Genomic DNA, 11,075 nt, shown 5'->3' on the forward strand with positions numbered 1-11,075 from the left:
CGAAACCAGCCTGACCAACATGGAGAAACCCCGCCTCTACTAAAAATACAAAGTTAGCTGGGTGTGGTGGTGCATGCCTGTAATCCCAGCTACTCAGGAGGCTGAGGCAGGAGAATTGCTTCAACCCAGGAGACGGAGATTGTGGTGAGCCGAGGTGACGCCATTGCACTCCAGCCTGGGCAACAAGAGTGAAACTCCATCTCAAAATAAATAAATAAAAAGATTGAACTTGCTACATGCTTCTATCTCTATCTGCCTTCTGTGCTGCCAGCTCCTGCTTCTAGCAAGAAGCAAGAGAACTTATGTTTTTTCAACCCCTAGTTCTCTCCTGGTAAAACTGTGAAGAATCTATTTGCATATCTAGCCATTCTACATGCATAAAAATGCTATATCGACACAAAGAAAAGACTTGTTCATAGGCTCATAGTTCTGATACAAGGCTTACCAGCTGAATTGCCCACAGTCAGGCCCTACAGAGAACTCTGCTAGTTTGATACTCCTATTAATATACAGCTAATAGGTGGTCCTGTATCCTACAGCTGTGGCCAAGGTCCCACACACAATCAATTTTCCATTCCGTTAGACTGGGAGGGAGATTGTTAGCTTTCTATGAACATAAGAAGATCCCCTGATGGAGCCATCTACATAGGATAGGTTTTTGTATAGGTTTAATGACCCTTCAGAGTTGGTAAATGGTCCACAATTTCTCTAACCTTCACTTCCTGGACCCAAAGAGAGATTGGCACCAACTTTACTGTGTCATTAATTTCAGGAGTCATTCACTGACCTTCTCCAGCAGTGGCAGCAACTCCCCAAGTCAATCAGGCAATAAAACCAGCTGTACCAAAAATGTAACAACAGTTCAAGTTTACTTTATCCAGGGGCCTCAAGTATTCAAGATTGACGTCCCTACCTCCCCATCTCCAAGGATGCCCCCCCCTCCCCGCCATGATGATACCCAAGAGTGAGTCAGTGTAGCCAGGTACCATTGCCCACAGGAGGCTCAGCTTTGTCCCTTTCAAATGATCCTCCCCAAGGGCTTCTGTTTCTCTTACTTCTAGCCATTTGGTCTTAGCCATTGTGTTTCCTGTGATCCATATGCCAAGCCCCCACATCTTACATAGGCCATTGGAAATTTGGGTGCTCTGGGAAACCTCATTAATCAAACCATGTCCTGCAAGGCTGACTGCCAACCAGCCCAAAGACTGACCTGGTGTCACAGAGATGTCCTGAAGGCCTTCTCCTCCTGGTGAAGCCCATCATCAAGAAGATGTTGGACTTGCAGATCCAGACAAGAGAATATGAGGATGTTCTTACCACATCAGGCAGTAATACAATGGCCTCCTAACTGGTGTCCTTGTGCCCGTGCTTTTCCTCTTCTCCATTCCCCATACAGCAGTCAGGAAATCTGATTGTGTTCTTCCTTTGTTTAAAACCCTTTCCTGTGTCCCACATGATGGCCTGCATGATCCTTCATGCCCTTGACCTTGCCAACCTCTCAGGTCTCATCTCATGCCACCTTCTTCCTCCCTGCTGTGCTCAGGCCACATGGCCTTCCTCTAGCTCCTCAAGTGCCTAGAGGCCCTTCCAGAGGCTGGTCCCTTTGACTCTTCAACTCATTAATTTCCACTCATCCTTCAGAGCTCAGCTCAAATGTCACTTCCTCGAGGCGACTGTCCTTGAGTCCCCACTCGCTCATCATACTTTTGCTAGCTCTGCGTCCCGTTCCATCATAGGTTGTAATTACAAGTCTGAGTAATGTGTGCCTCCTTTAGTGGCTTGTAAGGTTCATGAAGGCAGGATCTATATCTATCAAAGTTCCCCCTGAATTCTGAGTACCTACACAGTAGGAGTCTGATAAATATTTATTGGACAAATAAATCAACAAAAATAAATATGGAAAAGTTGCTATTGTGGGCTTCACCAGTTGGTGAGTACAGATGTAGTCCTATAACTTCATACACTTTCAATTGCTCTATCACATTTGTGATAGCTATGAAGTTTTTCCTTCTATGCAACATGCTGCTATTAGACAGCTACAGGAATGAGTGAATAGCTTCTCCTCTAGTTTCTTGTCCTCAATCTCTCTCTTTCCTCCCCTCTGGCCCACCCTAAATACTTATACAGGCGAGTGTGGACACACACACACACACACATCCTGTGAAGAGGAATGAGAGCACAAAAAGTTATATACAATTCATTGTAATATGAATCAGGAAAAAGCTTCCTGACTTCAGCCTAAAGATTCCCTGGGCTGAGGGGAAAGGGAATGTCCAGATGGCAAATGGAGTGAGGAGAGAACTTATCCTGGTGGGTCACTGAAAAGAGTGCTAAGCCTGCTCCAGTGGGGAAGAGGAAGATGACAGAAATGTCAGGTAAGTTTGTGGGAACTGAAAGGGGAGGCAATCTAGAAGTGTTCTCAGGCAAAGGCCCAAGGAGACCCAAGATCTCAGAGACTAAGGTGCTATGTGGCAGATATGAGTCTGGGACAGCTTACAGAGTCCCATACGTCACAGTGTGGCCTGGAAGCAGATGGATGGTTCTGGGGCCTGAGAGTGCCGCAGGAGTCCATGGGTCTTGGGTCACAGCCTGCAGTTTCCATGACTCAGCCTGGCAGTGGAATGACTTCCTGGGCACCCCAAAGGCTTTATAGAAGTTGAAAGGATAGTTGTCAAACGTGCAGGAGCCTTTTAAATGGGATCATAGGGACAAGGTAGCAATCATCTGCATGTCAGGAAACGAACACTAAACAGGATGATGGATGGCCCAGTGAAGGCCCAGGTGATAGCAGTCTAGAACCAGGTACCCCATCTCCCCACATGTTGACATGCCACAAGCACCCCAGAAATTAGTTATTTCCCTGCAGTTACATATTGACTAATTTTAAATTGTTACTGCTTACAGGATGGAGGCTCTAAATAGAAAAAAAGTTAGAGAGAAACATAAATTTGTTATGTTTTTATACAGCTGGGTTTGTGGGCTGCAAATTGAAACCATTATACAATTCTCTTTTAAAATGCAAATATCCCTCATACGCATATCATGTGGACAAAGTGTTTGTTTTATTAATAGCATCCCCTAACCTAGTTTCACTATTAAAAGGTAGGTCTGAGTGGGATGTGGGTCCCTAGTGACCTAGTGTGAGAATAGAGGGTGTTTTGTTTTGTTTTGTTTTTGAGACTGAGTCTCGCTCTGTTGCCCAGGCTGGAGTGCAGTGGCATGATCTCGGCTCACTGCAACCTCTGCCTCCTGGGTTCAAGTGATTCTCATGCCTCAGCCTCTTGAGTAGCTGGGATTAGATGTGCCCAACACCACGCCTGACTAATTTTTGTATTTTTAGTAGGGATGGGGTTTCACCATGTTGGCCAGGCTGGTCTCAAACTCCTGACCTCAAGTAATCCACCCACTTTGGTCTCCCAAAGTGCTGGGATTACAGGCGTGAGCCACCACGTCCGGCCTTAGAGGGCATTTTAAGGGAAGAAGAGAGGAGTTGGGAAAGGATCTTCTTTCTAATGGGAAGAGAAAGAAGAGACAATAGAAAAAGGAAGAAGGAAAAGGGCCCAATGAATGTCCAATATTCCTTTTGTTTTCATTGTGATTCTCATACAGAATTCATAAATACTTCAACCTAAACCATTGAAATTGGAATTTAATCTGAGGTATGAAAAAAATGCTAGGTTTAAAATCACAACCCAGGTTGAATTTCTTACTTTGCCCATTAATAGATGTGTGACCTTGAGCATTCTCTTAACTTCTCTGAGCCTCAGTTACTTCAGTTGTAAAAAGGGTCTAATAAAACACATCCCACTGAATTACTGAGAGGATTGATCCAATTACATGAAAGAGCTCTGAAACAATAAAAAGTTGCACCATCTGGGGTATCAGTTTGCGGTCGAGGAGACAATGGGGAGAAATAATGTAAGTGTTGAGCACATCTGCGGTCTTTAAACAGAGAGCTCAACACAAGGACATGGGCATATTGGAAAAAACTATTTCAGAAGAGGGGAAAAGGGAGAAAGGGGGATATGTGGGTATTAGAGGCAAACCCAGATATCCTGCCTTGAGGTCAAATAATTATAACATTAAATCCTGTTTACTGATGCTTAGCTGTCAGGCTCTTGCTCATTTACCTTGGAGATCCATTTAGAATTAGTGTAAGGTGTAATTGACCTGTACTTAGAGTTCCAGAATAGGACAATCACTTCCAAATGCCCTCAGTATAAGAAATTAACAGTACTTGGGGCTTTAGAAATCAATGTTCAACCTTTCAACTACTAGAAAGCCTTTTTAGTTATTGTGCTTACTATGAAAGCCCTTGGCTGTCAGTTCAACAAGTCGTTCTTGCTTTGTGACATCTCTGGAAGTTTAATAGTTCTGTGAGAAAGTCCTTGTCAGTGTTCTGAAAACTGGGAATTAGGAAGTCGACTTCCAATCAAGCTTCAGATGACATGCGACATGCGTTAAGTTTAGAAATAACGTTAGTGTTTCTAATTTAGCATCGTGTTGGAGTCCTAATTATGAAATGACATTAAGAAAATTCCATTCCTCAGAATTCTTGTGCAGTAGCATTGGGTAGAAACACCATTGTGTTCTGTGACCTGGGGTAGGGATGATATCTCAAAAACGCATGCTCAGGTTGCCCATGGTGATAGCTAAACTGTCTTCTCAGGAGAGGAGCAGGCTTTATTAACTGGAACTCACCAGATTTCACAGAACATTTTGAAGGGCTTAGGATTGTGAGTTTGGAGGTAGATGCCAAGCAGAGGTAAACATTTTGTATAACAGAAGAAACATATTTGATATGGGAGAGAGACAGAAATCTTGTGGAAAACTCCAGAGCCATCAAAGCTGGGACAGTGTTAAAGACGAGCACCCTGGAAGTGAGGAGCCAAGTGTGGGTTTTGAGGAACAGATATATTAAGGGGGATTCTCACAAATGTTTTATTTTGACAAATATCAATAATTTAGAAAAGTTGCAAGAATAGTATAGCAATTATTCATATACCCCTTCCATATAGTACACAGAAAAAGAGGGTATATATTTTAATAAATATTTGTGTATACACATTTTGTGTATAGATAGGCAGATAAATAGATAAAGAGACAAATGTGCACCTGTGTATAATTTTCTGAACTGTTTGAGAATTGGTTGTAAGCATCACGACACTTCACCACCAAATACTTCAGCATGTGTCTCCTAAGAACAAGGCTGTTCTCTACATGACCACAACATAGTTATTTCACCCAGAAACTTAAACTTGATACAATACAATATCTAATATTCAGTCCATATTCAAATTTCTCCTATCATCCAAATAATATCATTACTAATCTCCAATATAAAGAGATTTAAAACATGTTTTCCATGTTCAACATAAATGTCTTCTCCATTTTTCTTACAAAATCATCAAAAACAACTACGTTTCCCATTTATACTTTTACACCAGTAGTTTCTTTGGAGGAACTTGCACTTGTCCCACATCCAGATTGGCAGGGGATAAAATAGAAATAATAAGAGCTGGCAGAAGAGAGGCTGGTTGATGCTGATTACATTCAAAATAACTATTTGGAGGAAAAAGCACTGATTCTGTTCCTGGGGTGTTGAGTTTTTTCTTCTGACCTCATATTTTAATCCTGTCCTTTCTTAGTCTTTTGTATGTGATAAATCTCCCAGAGCATGCCCTTGCAGTGCTTGTCTCCCAGATCTTCCTAATAAATTATATAAAAATTTGCTCTCATAGGTTTTGGTTTTTAAAAAAACAAATTTTAATTTTAGAGCAATTTTTTTTGTTTGATGGTTTGCTTTTTGGTGTGGACAAACCATATTCAAGCCATAGCAAAGTCCAAACTAAAGCACTAACATGAGTAATGATTATCTTCCTGTGAGTGGTGGATGGAACAAGAACTTTGCATTTCTTTTTTATAATTGACACATAATAATCGTACATATGTATGGATACAGAGCAGTGTTTCTATATATAATGTGATCAGCTCAGGATAATTATTAATAGCATATCTGTCATCTCAAATATTTATCATTTTTTGTGTGGGGAATTTCCAATACCTTCCTTCTAGCTATTTGAAACTGTATAATATAGTATTGTTAATTAAAGTCATCCTACGGTGGTATAGAACACTAGAACTTATTCCTCCCACCTAGCTGTGAGCAGTTTTTCATTAACAGAGAAGTAGATAAAATGGTACATTTCCCATACCTTCCCACCTCTGGCCCTGCACATAGTTTCTCCTATTATTCACATCTTAAGTTAGTATGGTACATTTGTTACAAGTAAGGAACCAACACTGAAACATTATTATTAGCTAAAGTCCATACTTTATTCAGATTTCCTTAGTTTTTATCTAATATCCTTTCCTGTTCCAAGATTCCATCGAGGATACCCCATTATATTTAGTCTTCTTTTCTCCTTAAGCTCCTGGAACTCTGATAGTGTCTCAGACTTTTCTCGTTTTTGATGTCCCTGACAGTTTTGAGCTCATAGGTCTTTTGACTATTTATTCTCTGTACTTTGCTTACACTAGAGTACCACAACAAATATTACTTTGAATTAGGTAATATCTATAATTGGTGAAAAGCAAATCATGTTTGAAGTAGCTACATGGTAAGGATGATCAAGTTATCACTGAAACTTGTTTGAGCAGCTTTGGTTGTGTATAGCTTATTTTCTGACTACGTATTGATTAGATATGGGATATGGAGTTCATGGCTTTCATTGAAGGGATGATTTTCTTTGGGTGGATTGAGTCAATGAAGCTCAAAGCAAAAAAGATCAACTGAGAGGGCACAACCAGTCACAGGTGTCTTTTTTTTCCCAGAGCCTTATGTTCTTTCAGACTCCACAGGGCATCAGTTAGTCTCTTTATTTTTGCAAGTGTCTTGGGGGTAATTTGGCTGAGACATGCTACCATCCTTTAGCAAACAGATAGTTCCCTTGTTCTTTGCTTACTAAAATTTTTTTTTGAAAATTGAAGTATAATTTACAAATAATAACAAACACAGATCTTAAGTTCCAAAGTTTTGATGAATGCATATACCTCCGTGACCTACACCTCAAGACACAGAACATGTCCATCACTGCAGGAAGTTATCCCATTCCCTTTCCAAGTCAATGCTTGCCCTCAATCCCCAGAGCATCCACTGGTCCAATTTCTTTCACAATAGATTATGTTTGCCTGTATCAAAATTTCATAAAAGTGAAATCATACAGTTCATACTATTTTGTGTCCAGCTTCCTTAGCTTAGCATAATGTTTTTGAGATTCATTCATGTTGTGTTTATATCAAAAGTTCATTCCATTTTATGGCTGAGTTGCATCCATTGTACTGTATTAATATACTATAATTTCTTTATCCTTTTTTGTATTGATGGACTTTTTTTTCCTGATTTTTAGCTATTACAAATGAAGTTGTTATAAATAACGAGGTATTTATAACATAGGTATAAGTTTTTGGGAGGGACCTATGTTTTCCACTTCTCTAGGGTGTGGAATTGCTGGGTCATTTGGTTGGTGTATGTTTAATGCAATAAGAAAATGTCAAACTATTTTCCAGAGTGGTTGTACTATTTTATATTTATCTATTGCTATGTAACTTAACAGCAACAACTTAAATATTGCTGCAAAATTAACAGCTTAAGCAACACAGATATACTATCTCACAGTTTTTATGGGTCAGAAGTCTGGATACAGCTTAGCTGATTCTTTTTTGAAAGGCTGCAATCAAGTTGTTAGCCCAAACTGGATTTTCAGATGGTAGTTCAACTGGGGAAGAATCTGCTTTCAAACTCACATTATGTGTTGGCAGAATTCACGTCCTTGTGGTTTCACAACCTAGGGCTTCAATTTCTTTCTGGATGTCAGCTGGAGGGCACCCTCAGCTCCTAGAGGCTGCCTGCAGTTCAAATAGAAAATAATTCTCTGTTGCAGAAGTTATGGCCTTGCTCCAGAACCTCAGGGGTGTGCCTCCTATTGGGACTTTCCAGGGACACCAGATAGCATTTATCTACAGCAAATACCTCTGACACCACTGGATCTGCTGGATTATATAGTTCAAGTAGCAGCTTTCACCACAGCCTGGAGCTAATCCTGAGATGTCTCTGACTACGGTACCCACTAGCAACTGGACATTTTCTAAGTCTCCTGATAAATGGGTTGAAGCTGTATTCCCAAAGACAGTACATGCTGCCTTCAAAATCAGAGGAGGCCCACTAAGTGATAAGCCACTTTCTTAGTGGCAGGGGGTGAGAAGTGCAATAAATTGTCATTTACATTAAAGGTGATGCTCCCAGCATACCCAGAGCACTGAATCTTAACAACTTGATCAATGTGGCAAGCCCTCAATTATCTTGGAGTTTATCTCCCATTCTTTGGGTTACATGTATTTTACTGGCCACTTAGCCTGTCTACTCAAAGTGTAGTCTACAGACAGATGTTGGCTGGTGAACACTTGGTTACTAGCCTGTGGAAAGATAAATTCATAAATTGAAAATCTATATTTAGAAATTTTATAGCAATTTGCCATTGCTGTGACTTCCAAGCACATGATCAGAAGACTAATCTCATTGAACAAAGTATAGATCATTGTGATTATTGTCAAACTCATATGGTGATTTGCACATGCAGCAAGATACCTACTGTTCAAGTTCAGTTATTTCCAAAAGTATTGCTCCAAGACAGTTTGGAAAAAATAAAAAAAGAATTGGAGAGTTTCAGAAGCACTGATCCAGAGTATTTGCCCCTTTGTACTTTGTACTCCCTCCCGGACAGAGAGCAGGAGAATTAAAATAGCCCTGGGCCAGAAAGTAAACGTGTATTCTTATCTTTTGTATATGAGGGCAAACTGCTTTTGATCCTTCCTGCTGATGGGAATCAAGAAAGGCACATTTACCAAGTTAGTAACTGCATACCAAGGTCAATGTTGATTTTCTCAGGGGAAGATACCACATGCTGTATGGCAGCGCCTCTTGGAGCTAATACCTGGTTAAGAGTATAGTTGTCTACTGTCATCTGCCATGATCCCATTTTTTGCAGGGGTCAGACGGGAGAATTGAATGGTAATATAAGGGAAACTACAACCCCTGCATTCTTTAAATCTTTGATGGTGATGTAAATCTTTGCAATTCTTCCTAGAATGCTGTCTTGCTTCTGATTTACTATCCTGACTTGGGGTGACAGTGGCAGTTTCAAAGGCTTCTACTTGGTCCTCCTACATAATGACTATTAATCCATGGGTCAGGGAGCCAATGTGAAGGTTTTGCCAGCTAAGATTGACTACCTTAATTAGACATTCAGTGATTTAAACATAAAATGCATTCATGGGCAATCAGATCCACTGTGAGTTGGAATTGAGCCCAAACTCCACTGGTCCCTATTCTAACTGGAGAATTACATTGGTATCAGGGTCAGCTCAGACTTTGTATCTAACAGTTCTTGAATACTTGATATTCCTCTTTCTTCCACTGCATGCTCTCACCTAGCAAATGGCCACGAGTCATTTTGGGGAGCCACCTATCAAAAGGAGTCATTACATAACTTATAGGCAAGAGAAGACTTCTCAAGCTTGAGGTGGTGCTTCTGCCAGCCAGAGGGTTCAGAGCACTAGTGGGCTGCAGTGAGCACATTCCACCTTGCAGAAGCCATTTGTGTGCATTTCTTTTTAATTCTGTGTTTGGTGACATTATGCTGGTAGCTTGAAATTGACCAAGGTGGGAGTGTTTACATAACAGAAATTGGCAAATATTAAAATGTCCTTCCCCACCACCCTCTCCCCTGAGAACTGGTTGTTAAATTTCTTTCCAGTACATTACAGAGTCAGGGGTAACATAGAAGATTCAATATTCTCAGGCTCATCTATCCAAATGCCCTATCCTAGGTCTTAGGGTAATACTCTTTTTCCTTTCAAGAACAAGATGTGGGCTAGGAGACCCTGAAAGTCCATGCATTTGGTTGCCTTTTCAACTCTTCTGCCCTTACAATCAGCTTCCGTGACTTCCTGTAGCCTAAAGCAAACTACACTAAATATTACTAAAAATTGCCAGTAGAGGCCCTCTGGCCTTCACGGTGTGACTTAAGGTGACAGGTGGCTGCCCTGAGGCATCATTTTGTTTTACAAGGTATACAATTCCATCAACAGAATCAAGCCCCTCTATAGTCCTTACAGTTATTGTCCCCACACTGTTCAAACAGTATGGCTACTACCTATCCCAATGCCCCACCTTCTATCTGCACTGCATCTCAATTAGCTACAGGTGGGAAGCCTTTGTAATCATGGTATCACTGTGTTGCTTCATAACTACCCACTCACTGTGCCATGGGTCTTTATTGCCACACGGTCGGTAAGTAACCCAACTCTAGCATTCCATCCTGAGTGTCTGCAGGACGCTCCTGGTGCCAAGTCTTTTAGCCTGGGTTCTGTAGAAAACAGAGCCTGAGTGTAGTTTGAGAGAAACTGGAGTGAAGACGAACGGGCTGGGCAAAGAAGGAAGAGAAACTATTAATAATAAAATAGTGTATTACCGAACTAGCTACCTCTTGGTATCAAGCCCGGGTGATTGGTCAGTATCATGAGGGTCATATTTTGAGAGGTAGTATGGACTACTGTGTTTCAGGACAATCTGTCTGGGTGGAGGAAGGAGAGGAGTTTATATGCTGGACCCATCTTGTTTTGATTAGATTTACCCCAAGGACATTAACTCCACTGCACTTACGGCTACACTTTGTTAGAAGCCCAACAGTTAGGCACTATCTCAGCCCTCTTGGGGTGGGAGGTGAGATGTGTGTGGCTTGGGGAAAGGGAGGGGAACCACTGGGATGTGCCAATGTAAAGTCTGTTGCTTCAGTAGTCTCTGGGCAGGGCCCATACAGTTGGTTGCTATGGTGGCAGTTGGGGAAAACAAGTGGTCAATGACCCTGGAGTTAGGCCAGGCTGTTTGGCTTATAGGTGACATATACACTGCTTGATATGTCTACCACACTGCCCTTCTTGAATCTTGGTTTTCGGCATTTCTTTAATTCTATTTAGTGTTCTTCCAATAAATTCTCATTTTTTGGTTGCTAATC

General features: G+C 41.1%; 1 annotated feature.

Moving 5' to 3' along the window:
* Nucleotides 3,260-3,319: an enhancer, noted in NCBI's record as "active region_7725". NCBI's record gives its function as "activates an Ori minimal core promoter by ATAC-STARR-seq in GM12878 lymphoblastoid cells {active_cell/tissue: GM12878}" and the evidence as "EXISTENCE:reporter gene assay evidence [ECO:0000049][PMID:35858748]".

This window comes from Homo sapiens, chromosome 13 (genome assembly GCF_000001405.40).
Source record: "Homo sapiens chromosome 13, GRCh38.p14 Primary Assembly".
Classification (NCBI taxonomy): domain Eukaryota; kingdom Metazoa; phylum Chordata; class Mammalia; order Primates; family Hominidae; genus Homo; species Homo sapiens.